The 20905-nt window shown below is 35.6% G+C and overlaps 1 protein-coding gene across 14 annotated transcripts in view; it reads right to left on the bottom strand.

Annotated features, from left to right (window-relative positions):
• PIK3C2G (phosphatidylinositol-4-phosphate 3-kinase catalytic subunit type 2 gamma) overlaps positions 1-20905 on the bottom strand; it is a 483857-nt gene that overhangs the window by 144144 nt on the left and 318808 nt on the right. For all 14 annotated transcript variants that reach the window (XM_047429007.1, XM_017019471.2, XM_047429008.1 and 11 more), the window contains 3 exons: positions 19782-19971; positions 19176-19297; positions 15617-15725 (listed from right to left, as the gene is read on the bottom strand). In XM_047429007.1, the coding sequence (XP_047284963.1) occupies positions 15617-15725; positions 19176-19297; positions 19782-19971 (421 nt within the window). The remainder of the gene's footprint in view (positions 1-15616; positions 15726-19175; positions 19298-19781; positions 19972-20905) is intronic.

Raw genomic sequence — 20905 nt, 5'->3', positions numbered from 1 at the left:
GACTGACTGAAATTCTCAGCCAGTGGGTCTCATCCTGCCAGGTTCTGTGGAAGCGGAGCCTGCACACCATTGCTGCTCAGCCCCCTGGATTCAGCCCCTTTCTTAGGTGTATGTATAGGAGTCTAACCTTTCGCTTTGGCAGAGTTGCAGCCACTTTTGCTAGGAAGCCCGGTATCTAAAGCTCCTGGTGCTTCACGTGTGTCTTAGTGGCCGCTCCGCCAAGATTCTACGTAGCTCAGTCTGTCAGACTGAAGGCCCTGGTGGAGTGGGTTCACCAGGGGATCTCCTGACCCAAGGGTTGCAAAGATCCATGTGAAAACTGTGGTTCCTGGGGTTTGCTCACTCACTTACCATTTCCCTGGGCTGGGGAGGTTCCCCTGTTTCTGTGTTACTTCTGAGTGGGCAGTTGTTGCTTTTCTCCATTCTCTGTGGGTTGACTCGTTTTCTTGATGAATCCCAATGTGTGAGCCCGGATGCTTCAATCGCAGGTGCTGTATTTCCTTGCCCCTTCTATTTCTCTCCATGAGAGCTATGCACACTAGCTGCTTCTAGCTGGCCATCCTGTCCAGCCTGCTTTGAAACTGTTTTTCTTCATTTCACTAATCATACCCATTTTTGCTTAATCCAGTGGTCAATTCTCAATTTTTGACCATCAGTAGCATTTGACGCAGCTCATTATCCCTTCTTCTTTGAAATATGCTTTTCTCTGAAATTCCAGGCACCACAGTCTTCTGGTGTCCAACTGGTTGCTCCTGCTCAGCCTCCTTTGTTGATTCTCCTGTATCTCTTCAAGCTTTAAAATTGGGGTTCTGCACAGTCTAGTCCTCAGACTGCTTCTTTTTCATATTTACACTCTCACCCTAAGTAATCTTATCCTGTCTCATGCCTTTGATAATCAATTATTTGCTGACAACTGCATTATCAGTATTTCCAGCCTAACTTCCCCCCTAAACTTGAGATACATGAATCCACCTTCCTACTTGACGTCTCTGGAAGCCTTATAGGCAACTCAAATGTAGTGGGTTTAGATTCAAACTCCTTCTTGCCCCACTCTCCATTCCCAAGTTTTTGCCATCACAGTAAATGTTCAGCCAGTGCAAGCTTGTCAGTCCATAAAGGCACATTAGTGGTTGGCAATCATCCTGACTAGGTCAGTGCTTGTGCACTAAGAGTTGTTAGATATTTGGAACACTTCTCCTATGTAGAGCATTACATATTTGGTGAATAAATAAATAAACGTTTGGGATTTTTCTTAGGGGATCTAAAGTTACTGTCCTTTGGTATCAATGACTCAGCTAAATGTGTTAAGCTAAATGAAATGCTCTATGAGGTTTTATGTATGTATTTTTTTCACTGTCAGAGTAGATATGTTTATCTAATATAGGATTTTCAATGTCTAATAATGTGCTTTTAAATTTAACAGTGCAATCAATAAAGAACAAATTTGAAACCCAACTGAATAATTTTAAATTAAAATCTTCATCAGTTTACAGTTTAAGTTCAGATACTTTGTTTGCCAATTATGTTGTCATTTACAATTTAATATGATTGATTTTTTCAGAGAGTTGATCAATTCAAAGTTACTTAAAACCTAAGTGCTTTTCCTATGTCATCTGAACATATTCTTGTTATCAAAGACTACAGAGTTAAAGTACTTGCAAAGGCCAGAAGTAATGTAATATAACAGCAAGATCAATTTTTTCTTTCTCTAAAAACAGCTCAGTGAGCATTCCCATTTATTAACTGGTCAGCCAACATCTAGAATTGGCTGCAAGATTTAGCTTTAGTGAGTTAAAACAATAAGCTAAATCTGTCTCTCTCAAACACGATGAAGTGCTGTAAAAATGTGAATTTAAAAACGAATTTCCATAAGAGTTTTAAATCAAAGTTGAACAGTAATTTTATTTTATTGCTTTTTTTATAAAGCAGTGTGTCAGAATGTCCAGTCTTTAATGTAGTTCCACCCACTATATTCATATTAGAGTTACATGGAAGAATGACACTATGAAGAATAGTGAACTTTTAAAGAATCCTTTACAATTCTAGTTTAAAATGTCATCAACATTTTAGTAGACTGTGTAAAGTAATCTTGGCTTTACTGATGGTACACATATGACATTTATCCTGCGTGCAACATAATCTCAGCTAGCTCCAAATAAGAAAAGAGCAATGTCGTCACAAATGTAGTAATTAACATCTGGGTTTAGCAAGCAGGGAACAAGAAACATATGCTCACGATTAAGATAGGATTTATCCATTTGGATTTATTTTGACATTTGATTTCTGCTTTAAAAAAATAACACTGCTTAAACCTTAAGTAATATCAATTTCTTATTTTAGGGAACTTCTGGTAATGAACAACAGTACTGAGAAGAGCTAAAGCTCACAGTGAATATGGCTTTAAAATTTTTAAAAACAACAGCTGTTTGAATATCTCAGCTAACCTCAAATATGGGTACACATTTATTTAGGTACTGCTATCATTTGCTATTACTTTTATTACATGTTTCTATTACTCTCTCTCTCTCTTTTTTTTTTTTTTGAGACAGAGTCTTACTCTATTGCCAGGCTGGAGTGCAGTGGTGCGAACTCGGCTCACTGCAACCTCCACCTCGTGGGTTCAAGCAATTCTCCTGCCTCAGCCTCCCAAGTAGCTGGGACTACAGGTGCGCGCCACCACGCCTGGCTAATTTTTGTATTTTTAGTAGACACAGGGTTTCACCATGTTGGCCAGGATGGTCTTGATCTCTTGACCTCGTGATCCACCCACCTCGGCCTCCCAAAGTGCTGGGATTACAGGCATAAGCCACCACGCCCAGCAGTTTCTATTATTCTTTATAAAGATCTTATTTAGTCCACAACACAATTCCACCAAAACAGAGCAAAATTTTAAGAAGGAAAGGAATTCTTGTTAGCACGACAAGAATGAACTTAAATGAACTACAAACACTGAAAGAAAAAAAGCTTAAATCCATTTTGAGGAAAAGAGTGAAGCTAAAAGACAAGCCAGGTGGATATGGAACGAGGATGTCTAAACTGATCAACTCCATCAGAAGAGGTATTAGGATAGTCCATTTTCTTTTGTCAGTTGTGTGCATGTGTGTGGGAGAGAGAGAGAGAGAGACAGACAGAGGAACAGACAGAGAGATCTCAGAGATTTATAGGCATCCCTCCACCTGGGCTGCTCTTGTATCTTTAGAACAAATCCCCAGAGACCTCTTGCCCATCTAACTTAACCAATTCTGGCCTTTAAAGAAGTCTCTTTATCTCATTCCCTTGGCAAAAGTAAGACTGCTTATAATTAAGAATTATACTAGAAGGGCACATAATAATATTTCATATTAGCAAGTTAAGGTTGTACGATTTCATGTTAAAGCTACATTTTCTACTTTTCTTCCATTTTTCCACTCACTGTCATATGTTATTTATATTCATGTCTGTATTTATTACAGTACTGTAAACTCAATGAGAGTAAAATATATGTTGCATTATTTTTAATCTCTCTAATTTCTTGTCTGCAACCAACTTAAAGCTCTTAATCAAGAGTGTTACACATAGTGTCAGTAAAAATTTAAAGTCTTTACAAGTTATGTAATGATATTAAATAATTTTATAATTGTTATAAATAAATATATCACGTAACTAAAATTGGGGTGTGTTTTAGTGTAGAAGCGTATAGGATTATCTTTACTTTTCCTATGTTGTCATAAGACTAGCAACTATAAAATGTGAAAAACATTTTAGGAGAATTTTTCTAGAATCAGAGATGCAGATTATTCTATTACGGAAGTATTCAGCATAAATAGTATAGATTCAAGTTAAATCTCTTGTTTTATTAACAAGAGAAAAGAGAATTTGTGAATGCATGAAAACATCTAAGACGTTCATATCACTTAAAATAGTAAAAATATTTATGGCATATAGACTACATAAATTCTAATGTTTATGTAGATATAACTATGTTAATATATATGAAGAAAGGGAGCTGTATCGGTAATACAAGATTTTAAAAATCTGAAAATAACATGATTTGGTTTGGAATTATTTATGTGATCTTTAGGCCAATAATGTTTCATTTAATCTTAAAATTATGTTTTTATTTCTTGAATATAAACAAACTGACTTAGGCAAGTGTCCATAAACATATGGAGATGCATAATGCTTTCATGAGGACTAACTTACTTGCAGATAGTTAAAATCTGACTACATTATGCAACACAGAGAGCATGAGTGATTAGTCAGATCACACTGCTTATTAATGCTGAGCAACATCTGATGACATCATTACTGTTCTATCACAATATAACTCATATAATGAATATTATCCCAAGTCCCATAAAATTCCTTTGGAATATAGGAGGAAAAAAAACCCAACGTGTGAAGTTATAAAAGACTTTATGAAGCCACTGGTGCATATCAACATAGACAGAATATAGACACAGACTGTAAGCTTCTCATGGCAGCATTGTGTCTGATTCAGCTTCCTACTTTCTGGGGTAGAGTTTCCCAGACCTGGTCGTGCATCTGAATCACTAGAATTATTGAAATGCAAGACAGATACCTAATATATCACCTTCTACCTTTAGAACCAGCATGTTTAAGGATGGGGCTCTGAACAATCCCTTTAAAACCTTCCCAGTTTATTCTAAAACAATTGGTTACCAGGTACTATTTTGGCACCCCTGGCCAGAGAGTATAAAATGTAGGCAATCAATAAACATTTGTTGAATGACTAAGACAGTGATTTTCAATGTGGCAGCTAATACGCCGAGGCTCCTCACTGTCCACATTTAATTTTTGATGATTTGGCAGCTATCAACATAGCACTACTTTATTTATTTTGTAGTCCAGAAAGGGCAAATAATAAGTGAGATGTAGATTGTACATCTCAGGAAGGTATGGTACCCTAAATATTCATTATGCAAAATCAACTACGTTAATTACCAGGATGATACCTTGGGAGAAGCTATTATATCTATAATTTTAGCTTCTTTTAGTATGAGACTATTATGGAACAAGACAGGATTCCCCTCCTTGAAACTCCAGTGTTAGAAGATGGCTGAAATATTCTCACTTGGAGTATTTTTAGGCTATGTGATTTCACAACAGTACTTCATGTTTGATGATATAAATGCCTTCTCCCATTAGATTTTAATTCAATTCAATATAAAAACAATGTAGTGCCTGGAATTTCTTTAGCCTTGCTTTCCGTAAATACTGACCAATGGAGATTAAAAGAGACACAAAACAAGACGAAAACATCTCTCCTCAGGGCCTCTAGGGTAGTACTTTAATTAGCACATTTGTAAATGTGGATGTGACAAAAACAGCAAAAGCTATGTTTGGTGGTTTTGGTCTTATGTCCCCATGCAGCAATGAGTATGATGGGCAACAATATTCATTAAGCCTTGCCGTGCTGTGCTGTGTACACCTTTACAAAAAACCTTCTCTGCCTGTGCATGCCTGGCTTCTTTGCCTTCTGCTCTCATGACAGCCCTCTGCTAATACTTCTATCTTAACCCATCCTGTGAGATTTCATAGCAGATACATTTAGGAGTTTCCTATTGAAAGTCTGCTGCTTCCAATATTCACCTTCTTCACACCAGTCCCAGAAATCAGATGCCTTTTTACTTTGCACTTATTGGCCTCAGCTTACATAGCCCAAACCTGACAATTTCAGCAGTTGTTGCACAGGTATTGTCTCCAAACTGCTTTATTATAATCAGTAAGACAGCCCTCAGCATGCAAAGATAATAATCCATCCACCATTCCCTTAGCACTTTCCTTTACAGCTACTGCCATATCCACAGCCCTTGACTACAGTATAAATGAACAGACGTGACCTTCAGAGAATGTCAGCATCAGTGAGGGACATTAAGATGTCAACATTCTATGTGCTTCTTTAACATGCAAAAATCACTTGGAACCCAATGTGATGAATTAAGTTTCCTTGATTCTCTAGGGCAGAAGCCTTAGTCATAATTCATTCTCCACTGACTGAGACAGAAAGGCAAATAGATTAAGACATGTTATATAATTTTATATTGAGAATGCACATACAATATCTTGCTTTCCTATTGTTTTGTTAACAGTGTTTTCAACAATTATTTTATTTTACTTCTTTGTTTCCTCCTACTACTAATATTATTATACTCTGTTTCCCTATTACACTATTCTATCTTCATAGTGAGTGAGCACATACTGTTCATTTCTTTCCCTTTGCTCATAACAGATACATTACAAATGTGATTTACATAATCTGAGTGATCTTTCTGGAGGGCACAGTCATGATTTGGTGTGCTATTACCATTCATCCTTTCTGCCCATGGCCAGGCAATGTTCCTGGGCATGGCACTAGGCAACCAGTGCAGCCTACCCCAGAGCTGGCAGTGAAGAGGATTCCCACGATCATTCTCTACAATGCCAGAGGTGTCTGTCATGACCTTCATGTGGGATTATGCACTGAAGTGAAGGAAAATATTAAAAGTACTATGAATGTTTATTTTGTAATAACATTCAAACTTCTTTTTCTAAATTTTTCATTTTCTGCAAGTTTTAAAATGTGTGTCACTATTTGTATAGTAGTTTGTGTATAAAATATATTTAAATGAGTTATATATTTTGGAACCATGAGCAATTATTTAAATAAAAACTTGATAAGATATAAGAATAAACAAGTTTAGAGACCATGGCTAATCACTTCTCAGATGCAATCTTTCAGTCCCTTAGGTTTTCAATAGCAGCAGAAGTTTTATAGGCTAGTATGTGCTAATGATTTTGTTATTCATTTACTCATTCAAAAACACTAATAAACATTGGTAAGAGTATTAGTGCTAGACATGGGGTAAAAATAGAGATAAATATAGTCATTTTGTTCTTTAAGTTTCTAAACAGGAGAAAGCGTGTAACCATAATGTTTTGTTTTTGCAGTTCTCTTTGCCTAGCACGACTTTTCCCGATTTCCAGTTACCAACTGCTACTTGCCCTTTAATATCATCTTAAATGCCATACCATCTGGGATGCCTTCTCTACCTCACTTGGAATTAGTTGAGTACACCTCCTTAGGTGCTCAGGCAGTTGCCCTTTGACACAACATAGCATCTCCAGCTGAGAGTCTACCAGCCTTGAAATAATATTGCAGCACAATGTTCTTGTATCAAAATTTGCTAAGAATCAATAATATAATAGAATACTTGAGTACCTGCTATGTTGGAGGCCAAATGACTGACCATATTTAAACTGAAAAATAAATGGGAAGATATTTATTGTCTGAGACGATGGTTCTCAAATACTACCATGTATTGAGATCTTCTGGAGGACTTGTTAAAAACAAAGATTGCTGGGTCCCACCTCTTAAGTTTCTGATTTAGTAGCTCTAGATAGGGCCAATATTTAACATTCTTATATCAGTTTCAAGGTGAGGTTCCCAGCACCATATAGGAACTATAATTTGAGAACCACTTGTTTTCTTAGTAACTGCTGAAAGGGATCTAAAAGCTTCACCTCTTCTTGCTCCTGACTATATGCAATCTAATGCAGTCCTGATTGACAGCTCAGGTTTTCTCTAACAGTGCTTAGGACCCCTATGACCTAGGATTTTCTTCTTTAAGTACATCTATTTATCATTAAACCACAATATTACTGAACTAGGAGGCACAGCAATAAGCCAACATGCTGAGTCAGTGAGTCTATTTTACAATTAGGAGGCTATTTTGTATATATGCATTGATATATTTTTAAATTTCAGTAAGTTTTTTTTATATGTACTGATTCAATCTATTATATAGCATGTAACAAAAGAAATTTAAACCATGACTTGAGATGTAATTTCATCTAAAGGCTTTCCCAAGATCCAGTGGAAAAGAAATGTTGTTGAACTGACAGCTGAGAAAAAAATAAAGCTCTTTTGCCCTTTAGTAAGTTCTAGTTACGGGGTTAGCTGTTTTCCTACTGTTACAATGCCTGTAATTTACTTTGAAATATGTCTGTATGTGCAACATGATATTATATATATGTCTCTTAAGTCAAGGTATAACCCAAGTGCTGCTAGCATTTAATCAAGACTGCAGAGTCGAGTCTAGGAATGACCTGTTAATGCCCTAATCAAAGATGCACAATTGGGGCAGTGGTATGGGGAGGGAAAAAGGAGGGGGTTTTTAGTATTCTAATCAAGAAGCCCATTCTAGATGCAGTCAGTACATGTGCTTCTGTTATTCACTCAGAACTTGATAATAGGCATTTTAGTAACTAGCAAACTGAATGTTACAGATAAGTTTTTCTTTATAAAAATGGTGGCTTATTGACTAGTCGCGTTAATATTAGAAATGGGTTCTCATGGGTGACATTAAAGTTATCAAGATCTGAGGACTAGCTAAAAATATTCTATAACTGTTCTTCACTCTTACATCAAAACGCAAAAAATCCAAAAGGCCTTGTACTCTTTACTTTTAAGGATAATGTTTCAGATAAATCACTAAAAGATCCTGTGTCTCTCCAAGAAATCTAGAATATTCTGTTAGTTTGGTGCCTCCCTATGAAATGTAGCATTCATCTCAAATAAGATGAGTCCTTCATACAGGATGATGATATGAGAACCTAACAGTAAAGAAAATTAGAGCTCCTTTTAGCATTCAGAAGTTGTATGTTCTGTGCATATATAGAGTACGTGTGTGTATTTGTGTGATCTTAAAAGCCTTTTTTGATCCACATGTGAGATGGGACAGAATTAGGGTTTAGCATTTCCCTTCAATTTTCTAGGCTATTCTCAGAGCCACTGGTGGGTAGCAGCAAACAGCCCAATAAGAAATCCTTTAATACTTTTTGGGCTGGAAAGTGACCACAGACTGAGACCCTACAATAGCAACCTATGAGAGAATGGCTGTAGTAGAGCACAAGAAAGAGACGGAGAAGCAAAATGGCAGCTATCTCTTAAAACCAGGGGTAGCTTGGGTGATGGCTGCAGTTTTAGACTCCATTTTCTGGTGATAGTAGGTTAGGCCATTTTGTCCAAATATCCTAATGAGAATAATTGAAACAGCTAGACATTTGCTTTTTAAACTTTGCTGGAAAGTGTTAGACAGCCAACAAGATAATGAAAAATTACCAGGGTAGGATCTGGAAGGAAGGCACAAATTCAGGAATGTGGGTCCAGGATTTGGCACTGCTTCTCTGTTGTGGGTGTTTACTCACACAAGTGGGAGCAGTTGAGAGGCTGAGAAGTTAAGCAGCACTTTTGACCACTTTGCAGACACAGGAGAAAAGGAAATTGAAGCCAGGACTGCCAGGTAGGCTTCTGGTGAATCTGCCTCTCCTTGAGTCTGGACCCCAGATGGCTGTATCTGAGGAATAAGGATGAACCAGAAAGAGGCCCTCACAAAGGCTATAGTTCAGTTTCGAATAATCTGAATTGCTGCAATTGAATTTTGGCAATCTCAGATTGCTAATGTCCCTATATTTAATTCTTTTCCACACTAAGATAATAGTAACCTAGGTGGTAAATTATTTCTACAAAGGATATTGCAGTATAATATCTGGCCACAATAAAAAAAGAAAATAACTAAACTCACAAGTGAACAAGACTACATGATTGAAAATCAGTAGAAACATTACACATTAGAATCATACATGCAGTGATTCTCAATAGTGGCGTTTTAAGAAAGATTTAAAAATAACTATGCTTACTATTTGCAGATATAATAAAAAAGGCTGAGATTTTCAGTAAAAATGGGGAACTCACATAAAAATGGAAATCATAAAACTGAAAAACATAATGTTTGAAATTAAGAACTCAAAGAATGAGTTTAATAACATATTAAACACAGATAAAAGAGAATTAATAACCCAGAAGTTATGTCAGAAGAAGCTACTCAGAATGAGGCATGAAGAAACAAAATAATTAAAAAATACAGGAGTAAGAGTAAGGAGTAGGAGGCATAAAGGATATAGTGAAAAGGTTTAACATATATGTTATTACAGTCCTAGAAAAAGAGAAGAAATGGTACAAGCAATATTTGAAGTCACAATGTCTGAAAACTTTCCAAAACTGATGAAAGACATCATAGCACAAATTCAAGAACCTCTGAAGCTCAAGCATGATAAAAGTAACAACATTACATCTGAGTAGATTATAGTAAAAGTGCAAAAAAACAAAACCAGATATGTATCAGCAGATTATATTTATATATATCAGCAGATTACATTTATATATATCAGCAGATATATGGATATAGCTACCTATATAAAGCTTTATTATATAAATTTTATATTTAATAACATAAAGCTTTATTATATATTATATATAGCTTTATATATATCGCTTTATATATATTTTATATAATTACAATAAGGCCGTATGATATATAACTTTATATATAAATATATATATTTTTATATAATTGCTATTAAAATAGTATTGTCAGCAAAAATATCCCTGAAGAATAAAAGACTAAAAAAAGTTGATTATATGAATTAAAAATAATAACTACTTCAGTTTATAGATACAGATATAGATGTACATTATTTGTAAATAATATAAGACACAAGTGGGTTAAATAGGCATAGGGCTCTAAGGACCTTGTATCATTGGGAAATTCATAAAAATTCTAATTTATTTTAGACTTAAATAAGTCAAAGACACATAGTTTAATGTCTATGGTAATTCCTAACAGGAGAAGAGTTTATAACTACTGAGGTTACATAGGACAAAATGGAAAAATAAATACTAAATTTAAAAAAAGAATGGAAGAAAAGAGAAAAAGCATTAGGTGATAGACTTGAGTATAACATATACACATAGACACATGCACACATGTATTTATCAATGACAGTAGCAAGTGTAAATAATTAAGCAGTACAAGTAAAAGATGAAAATTATGTTACTGGATTTAGAAAAAAACCCATCTGTGTGTTGCTTATAAGAGTGATCATTGAAATGGAAAAATATGAAATGATGAAAGTAAAGCAATGGAAAAAGTTGTATCATGCAGACACTAGCCAAAATAAAGCTGGCTTGGCTATATTAGTAATACAGAAGAAAGATTTTTCAGACAAAAGGCATCGTTAGAGATAGGAGAGACACGTGAACGTTAGTGAAAATTTCAATATAATGGGAAAAATATAACAATTCTCCATGTAAGTGATCCTAATAACAGTCACAAAATATATAAAGCAAAAATTAACAGGAAGATAATGAGAAGTAGTTAGATGTATAAATATAGTGGAATATTTCTATAAACCTCTACTGGTACAAACAAACAAAAACCAGTCAAGATGACAATTTGCACTAATATACACGTGTAGAACACTGCATCTCACAACTACAGGGTGCATTCTTCTAAAGCATGCATGGAATTTTTACCGAAATTGCCCATATTTAGGATCATAAAACATTGCAAAATTTAGAAAAAATTGAAACTATAGGTGTATTCTCTGACATACTTAATCTAGAAATAACAAAAAAGAGGCTAAATATATTTGAAAAAATTAAAAAGTATTTCCTAAAAATCCATGGCCACAAGAGAAATCACAATGAAAAGTTTATAAATATTTTGAAAGAATAAGAAAGAAAATATGGTATTGTATATCAAATTTGTATATACAATATTGTATAGAGAGATTTGTGGGGTGCAATCAAACCTTTACTAGAAGGGAGTCGAATTTTAAATGTGTAAGTTAGATAGGTTGAAAGTAAAGTTAAGCAGCCATCTGTAGTGAATCTCTATAATTTTCCTTTGCCGTGGCATTTATTTTGAATATAAGTTGCACTTTCAAATACTAGAAGAAACTCTTAGTCATCTTTGACAGTTTTCGGTTCTCTGCCTTCGAGCTCCTTGATGTGGTCGATCCAGATCTTTCTTATACAACTACCTCCTGGTGACCATCTCTCTATGGGTCAGATAGATATAAACTTCTTGACTCACTCTACTCATACCCACACACTGCTTGCATTGCATAGATATGCTACAATGACTAACTTCAGTCACCATTCAACTCTATAGAACCTGCACCTGCTTGCCCTAAATCCTCTAATTAGAACTCCCTGTGGGAAACCTGCTTGGATAATGCCCTATACTGCAATAAAGGCTTTGGTCCACAGGTCCCTTGCCCTCTCTCTCTTGTTCTCTACTTGCTGCTTGAGTGTGTGTATTAATAAAGTGTGCATCTCAGGCTGGGCACAGTGGGATCACGCCTGTAATCCCAGCACTTTGGGAGGCTGAGGCAGGTGGATCACCTGAGGTCAGGAGTTCAAGACCAGCCTGGCTAACATGGCAAAACCCCGTCTCTATTAAAAATACAAAAATAGGCTGGGTGTGGTGGTGGGCGCCTGTAATCCCAGCTACTGGGGAGGCTGAGGCGGGAGAATTGCTTGAACCTTGGAGGCAGAGGTTGCGGTGAGCCGAGATCAGGCCATTGCACTCCAGCGTGGGTGACGAGCAAAACTCCATCTCAAAAAAAAAAAAAGTGTGCATTTTATTTATGGATAAAGAAGTATTACATGAAAGGCACATTGTAAACCTGAATAAAGGAGAAGAGCCGTTGATCATGGATCACCACAAAAGATTCACACATTTATGACATTGAGGTAGGGTATGTTCTTACTAAGAAAATATTGATACATTTCACTTCATTAAAATTAAGCATTTCTATTCATCAGAAGACATGATAGAGCAAAGGGACAAGGTACAGAGTAGAATATATGAAGAAATACACCTTCCAACAATTTCAACCAAGAAATGAATCAATAAATGAATATTAAATTATTCAATAGAAAAATGGTAAAGAGACATGAACTGGCACTTCATGAAAGAAGATATCCGAATGACCAAAAAACATATCAAAAAGTGTTCAAGCTCAATAGCAACAGGAAAATGCAAGCTAAGAGTTCAATGAGACGCACACCAACCAGAATGGCCCAAATTTAAAAGATTAAAAAGACCAAGTATAGAAAATTGGAAAATGTATTTATTGCAAATGAGAGAACAAACTGGTCATTATAAGGTTGAAATAAGTATATCCTACAATCTGGAAATTCTATTCCTGGGTATAGGAACAACATGGGGATACTGAGTCATGCATGTGAAAGAATGTTCATAACAGTATGGTTTGTAATAGCCCCAAACTGGAAACATTCCAAAAGTCTATGTAGAGAAGTATCTACAGATAAATTCTAATATATTTGTATAATAAAATATTATACAACAATAAAAATCCATGAACCTTGGAAATGGGCTATCACTGCATTGTTGGCCTAAAACCAGTCATTCTATTATTATCTCTTAGTTCAGGTGTTCGAGAGGGCTCAGCTGGGTGTTCTGCTTGGGATCTCTGATGAAACTGTGATCATTTGGTGGTTGGGGATGGAGTCCCAGCTGGGGACTGGAACAGTTGCTGTTCCTTAGATATCTCTCTTCGGATTTGATCTTTTTGGTTTCTCTGCCGGGCAGACTCAGGGTAGGTCAGCTTGAAAGATGGCAACTGAAGGCTCCCGCAGTGACCATTCCAAAAGAAATTGTTAGAAGGTGCGTGGCATTTTCTAACCTATCTTGGAAGTCATAAAGGGTCACTTCCACCATATTCTATTTGATGAGCAAATGACAGAAGCCCTCTTGGGATCAAGAGGTTGGGACACAAGCTGCCTCCTCTTGATGGGAGGGTGGCAAAGCATTTTCAGACATGTTTTGAAACTACTGCGTGGTTACATGGGTGTTCTTATAATTTACCCTTGAACTGTTCAATTTTCTTTTGTGGATGTTTCTGAGTGTGTTTACATTTTACAATTTCAAAGTGAAAAAAAATAGTAAGAAGAACAATGTGCTAGTCTAGTAAGGAGGGCCAAGATCTACCAAAGTGGTGAGGGGCATTGTACTTCACAATGTTTTTAGTTCCTCACGACTCTTGTGATGGTTAATTTTGTCTGTCAACTTGGCTGGGTCACAGTGCCCCTGTATTTGGTCAAACATTATTGTGGATGTTTCTGTGAAAGTGTTTTTTTGGATGAGATTCATATTGAAATTGGCAGAGTTTGAGTAAAACATATTACTCTTCATAATATGGGTAGGCCTCATCCAATCAATTGAATACCTGAACAGAACAAAGACTGACCTCTGAGCAGAATGTCTTGGGACTCAGATGGTAAATAATCTCCTCTGGTCTCCGGCCTGCCAGCCCACCCTACAGATTTTGGATTTGCACCTCCACAATCATGTGAGCCAATTAAACAAATTTCTTCTTTTCTTTCTCTCTCTGTCTCACACACACACAGACACACACACACACACACACACACACACAATTTTGTTGGTTCAGTTTCTCTAGAGAACCCTGACTAACAAGCTCTCTAAGGCTTAGTTTTAGTTTCTAACAACTTGGGCTTGGCGTCCAAACTCTTACCTCACAAGAATGCTGAGATCCATCAGAGCTGTGTCCTTGCACATTTTCTTAGATCCCCGTGATAGGCAGAATAATACCCCCTACCAAAAGATGTTCATGTCCTAATCCCTGGAAACTGAATATGTTACCTTACATGGCAAAAGAGACTTTGCAGATAAAATTACATTAGGAATCCTGAGACGGTGAGATTATCCTAAATTGCCCAGATGGACACAGTGTAATCACAAGAGCCCTTCTGAGAGGGAGGCAGGAGGGTCAGAATTTGAGCCAAAGAAGATGTGATGACACACTCAGAGGTCAAAGTGTGCCACTGTGTCGCTGGAAGAGAGCCACAAGCCAAGGAACACAAGCAGCCTCTAGAAATTGAAAAGATTCCAGAACCAGCCCACTAACATTTTCATTTTAATTCCATAAAACCTGTTTTTCAGACTTCTAAATTCCAGAACTGAAAGAAAATTGATATGTACTGTTTAAAGCCACCAGGTGTGTGGTAACTTGTCACAGCAGCAACATATTCAAATTTTAAGAATACTATTTCTTTTTGGTTTTTCTCACTCATAAATTTTCTTATATTGTTGAGACACTTCCCCAGACCACCTCTGTTTAATCCTACTCAGTGTTAAAGGCTCGGCTCAGATGCCCTCTTCTCCTTGAAACTTTATTATTGCATCGGGAATGATTCTTACTCCTCTAAAACTCTAGAGCACTTCACGGCACTGATAGTCCATTTATCACATATTATTTCATTGAAGTTATTTGAAGTCAAGGTTCTATACTTGTTTTGCTGCTCCACAATTCTCAGTTCATGTATTTTATACAAATTAGGCATACATATTCATTGAATGAATGAACCCAAAGAATGTTATCATAAAATATTATTATTATTAGAGACAGAATCTGGGTCTGTCACCCAGGCTAGAGTGCAGTGGCACTATCATAGCTCACTGCAGCTTCCAACTCCTGGGCTCAAATGATTCTTCTGCCTCAGCCTCCTGAATAGCTGGGACTACAGGCATGTGTCACTATGCCTGGATAATTTGAAAAATTTTTTGTAGAGATGAGGTCTCGTTTTGTGGCCCAGGATTGACTTAAACTCCTGGCTTTAAGCAATCATCCCACCTTGACCTCCCAAAGTACTGGCATTACAGACATAAACCACCACACTCACGAATAAAATATAAAATAGTTGATGTTTTATGTAAAAATAGAAAAATTAATTATAACATACGTTTGTAACTTCATGTGATACATTTAATATCTGTTCCATGTAATGATTTAGATCTCTGAATCTTCTGTGATCTGAATTTGTAAAAGGTAGGTGCCACCAATGAGGAAACCTGTTTTAAGAGAAAAAAAAGTTATCTTCATTAGTTTGAAAACTGGCCTTTTCATCTTAAGATTGTTCATGTAGTTACAGCTGTATCAGATGGAAGGGCCAATGAAAACATTTGAAAAAGTCATAGTCTACGTGATTAATCCTCAGAATTTTATTAATATGGCTGTGGTCATTCATGCCATATTAATGGTCATTAATATTAATACTAACTTAATTTAATTTGACACATTAAATTCATTTATATGTCCCTTCTTACTATATTTATGGCAGACCACACATTTTGTCTTTTAAATATATGTGGGGTCTTAAAAAAAGACTGTCTGAAGTTAATGGTTCAAAATTTTTAAAAAGGTTCAGATTCTATTGTTTCTTCTGGGTTCACTAGAGACACCATTACACTAACTAAATTAAGCATTTTAGCAAGTGACATATGCGTCCATCTGCTCTTAGCCTTCTAGAAAATAGTAACACTTTCCCCAAGAGTCTGACTATTTGCAGAATTTCCTTTGCACAATCTGATGATTCATCTTGATGGGTTGGACTTCATTAAGACCAATTATTAGGTGGGATGACTGGTAATGGGTAGCATTTGGTAACATATCTTGCTGTCTACGTATACCCTTTTAGGAACTACCTAGCAGCCTCCTCTGACTCCAATCATACTGCTGCCTCATCCACACTTCTGCTTCTTTGGTAGGAACCACGGCTTGGCTACCATGCTTGGAGGGGAAATGAACATGGAGGATAGTAAAGGACAGTCAGCAAAGATAAAGATGTATGTGATAATTTCATGCCACCCCACTGATTACTGTTGGAAATGTCAGGAAAGTCCAAAACTCTATGCTTGTATATTTTAACAATGAACATTTTATTTTTTTAAGTCTCTTGCAGACCCTAAGACTTAAAAGTCTTTAAAATTTTTATCCAAATTTAATCATGAAAATTAGTACCAGTATACAATCAATTGAGCATATAGCATAGAAGATAGATAGATAGGTAGGTAGAGAGATAGATCTATATTCTACATATCCATATATGCATAGTTTTTTTGGGAGAAATGAATTTGATAAATGAGAGATTAGGCTGGTTTTAAGTATTAATTCACATGTCCGTGTGAGTTTTCCTTGTTGATAGAACAAAACAGAAGTCTACGTCAATTCTGCTATTTTGTTAATATTTTTATAGATATATGTACTAAAACATCTTATGTATAAATGAGTACATGAAAGTTGAGGAATGGTTCTATAATACTGTCATTTAATTGAAACTTCTTCGAGTTATATGTCAAATACAGCAGTTATTGAAAATTACTTTTTAATGACCTTTTGTCTGACAGTATCATCATATCCTCCCTCAATTTCATTCACAACAAAGATTAGAAAACATCTGACAAAGATTTGATTTGATATTTCATTATTAGAGTAATTCATTTTCTCAATACCAACACCAATATTTTGATTTGCCCTTTTGTCTTGTCCTCAGAAGTTTCTATAGCCTGATCAGTGTACCAAAATAAAATTTTGGATGGTTGGGAGAAGAAAGTCAACTCTCGCCAAGCATATTACTTTTCTAAAAAAGATTATTAATTTTAAGGAATATTTTCATGTCGTGTACCCCTGGAAGTTACCCAGAAACACAAATAGCTGATTTGAAGTCCACTGTTAGATGGTATGAACTGATTAGAATTTCATTCTTCATGACTCTGACTTTCTGATCATGCCTTCCAGATGACATTTACATAACTCTCGTAGGGCTTCTCTCAGTAATTTTAGAAGTCATAGGGAATCTTCATCTTTCATTTATGTGCATCACTGTAAGCCTGGGCCCCTTTGTGAGTGTCAGCATGCAAACAGTGTTCAGGGAACATAGGACAAAATGTTCCTTGCCTCCACAGGTTGCTTACACAGTTTGAAAATCAATGTAAGAACCTCCAGGCAGCAGTAATGAGCAAAGCAGAATCCTAACAAAAGCTGAAAACTGAAAAGAGGCCAATTGAGATAGATTATTAGAATTTTTAAAGTTTTACAAGTTATACTGATATGTATTGGTGAGGTACAGTGTAGAACAGAGACATTTTTGAAACCAAAAAAGGATAGCCGTTAAACAAAGATTAACATATTCTTCTCAATTATTAATTAGTAGGGTATCATGGCAAACATTGATGTTGAATGTGGTATTTGCAGCCAAACGTTGAGCTTTTTTTTGCCTGTGTCTCTTTTTTTCAGTTATTCTATCAGATTTTGTGATAATTCTAAAACTTGATGTTCCTTCTAAAAGTTGCCAGAATGACTTTGCCTCCCTCTCAGTCTCTTGAGTATGCTCTTAATTTCTGGACTTCCTGATGCTCAAAGCATCTGAATTTCAAAAATCCCTGTTACATATGCCAGTACAGTTTTTTTTTTCATGAATGTGAACTACTCAATTTTTAATATTGTGCAATATCTCCCTATGCACTAACTTTGCTTATATTTATATTTTGGAAGGTGACTAAATCCTGAAAGCCGAGTAAAAATCCACATGTATCAAGTATGCCAGGTAAAGTATAAACAATTACATCATAAAAGGACCATTTACTTTACTTAACAAAAATCTCACTGTAGATAAAACATCTGATTAACCTAAATGCAATATCATGATTTCTGGAAAGCTCACATTTTTAAAATCAAGATACACCTTTTTTATAGACTGAAGTCTATGATCAAAATTTGACTGCTTCTAAGTGATGAATTTTTGAAGGGTTATTTGAACAGCAGTTATTTTAATGATATTTTTAGTTTGCTTATGTTTAACATTTTTCCATTACAACATAAATGAAAATAATGATTTTCAAGATGGCTTCAAAATGAACAAAATAACAAATTCAATTTAGATAATGCAAGTTAATAATTTAAAAGTTAAAAATCAATGGCACAAAATGAGTTAGTAACATATGAATTGATATAAATACATTTACATTTTTTCTGGTATTGAAATTAAATATATAATAAGCATATATAATTATATATAATTAAATATGTATATTAATAAGCCTATGTGTATATATAGGCTTTATATTACAGTTATTTGTTGAAAAAGTAAACATATCCAATTTTCTTCTGCAATTTCAATTTCAATTGTATTTTTATAAAAAATAACTAAGAGGATTAAATTAAAAACAGGCAAATGAGACTATTTTCCCAATAATCGAAGAAAAACGAAGTAGCTTTTGAAATTGTCTGTCTACAAAATCAATGACTGGAAGTAAAAAGAAAATTGCAAATCTTGTTCTGTTTTATGAGACAAAAGATTCTTCACTCTGAGAGCAATTCAGACTCTCTGCTGGGATAGATTCAATGGCATTGGAGTCAGAATACTGTGTTTCTCACAAATAGAAAATCCCATAACCATAATTTTTCTTTTTGCTCAAGGACAAGTACTGAAGGCAAAACAATGTAAAAGGACAGTGCCTTACTCTGGGAGAGTCAGTGATGCAAACTGCTTCTGAAGTTGGCTGTGAAGTTTTGAAAACTGCTCAAATGATTTTTCTGTCAGGCTTGTTTCGTTGTTGCTGTGTGTCACCTGGATCAGATACAGCTGCAGAAAGTAAATAGATAGAAATCAAAAGATGGCAATATCAGCCTGTGATACACTCTAAAACCCGATTTTATGTAAACCAAACAAAGGAAGTACCTTTCTGCAAAACATTATCATAAAAGCTAGGAGATGCATTTTGTAAAGGCAAAATTAAATATAAATAATATCTAAGAGTATCACAATTGTATGTGCTAGGAACAGATTGCCTAATTTTTGCTGTTCTTGTGGACATTTTAATTAGTTCTTGATTTATACTCTACCACAGGGCAGGAATTGTTCTCTTTGATGGTTCTCTACTCATAGTCTTGTTGTTATGATTTTTCCTTGGAACATCCTCTTAATGACACTTCTGCTTAAATTGTAAATTATTTTTCATTTGCTTAGTAAAAAATTATGCTATAAGAAAGGCTGTGTAGCATAGTGAAGAGAAGTCTGAGATAAAGTCAAGTGATACGTAAGTCAAGATGACGGACTTTAAACTTACATTACTGGATTTCTTGCTGAACCCTAAAATTGTTGCTCTTTCAATCGACCTAGTTGTACTCAGCAAACAGGATTCCTGAGGAAAAGTCTGTGAAGTAGATTTGGCAGGGCTTATGGCTGACATTTGTGCAAGTGTGTGGATCAAGTTATTCAATTTAACAGGGAAACACTCCAGACTTTCCTTTATTTTCCTAGAGAAATGTAAAAGAAAAGATAGTGAGTGACACTCCTCTGCATCTACTCATTTCATTTATGATCTGTTTCCTTGTGTTTGTCAGTATGAGGGGAAAAAGCCAAGAACCATGTATGTTTATTTGGAGCCCAACAATTAAACGTTATTTGTATAAACTTCAAGTTTGCATCTGGAGTTGTTAGCAAATAAACATACAAGAAACTCTTGTGATGAAATATAAAACTGTAGTTGCTATATTGTGTGACTACGTTTTAAAAAGATTTTGTTGTGGCCCGGCGCGGTGGCTCACGCCTGTAATCCCAGCACTTTGGAAGGCCGAGGCGGGCGGATCACGAGGTCAGGAGATCGAGACCAGCCTGGCTAACACGGTGAAACCCTGTTTCTACTAAAAATACAAAAAAATTAGCCGGGCGTGGTGGCGGGTGCCTGTAGTCCCAGCTACTCGGGAGCCTGAGGCAGGAGAATGGCGTGAACCCGGGAGGCGGAGCTTGCAATGAGCCGAGATCCTGCGGCTGCACTCCAGCCTGGTGACAGAGCGAGACTCCGTCTCAAAAACAACAACAACAAAAAAAGATTTTGTTGTTTATTTGGGGGAATTTTTAAAAAATTTAATTCCAGCTTATAATTATTAAAAGTATTTACAACATTCCAGAAGTAACGCAAATTCCAAGAAGCCTAGTAGCTATTCCCATACTTTCTACCCTATTCTTTCCCTTTCCTTATATGTAAACAGTTTTAACACTTATGGCTCAACTTTCATTGTTTAATTTTTAATTTAAATTTTATTTTTGTATATTTTTATGTTTTTCTATCTTTAAAAAAGGTAGCATACTTAAATACTATATTTAACAGACACGTATTTTATATTAAATATTTTTCATTCTTTGATTTGTTTTCCTTTGTTTTTGGTGTTTTTATTTTTGTTGTCTCTG

The sequence above is a fragment of the Homo sapiens genome, chromosome 12, assembly GCF_000001405.40.
Source record: "Homo sapiens chromosome 12, GRCh38.p14 Primary Assembly".
Taxonomy (NCBI): domain Eukaryota; kingdom Metazoa; phylum Chordata; class Mammalia; order Primates; family Hominidae; genus Homo; species Homo sapiens.
This window is presented reverse-complemented; position numbering and strand designations above follow the sequence as displayed.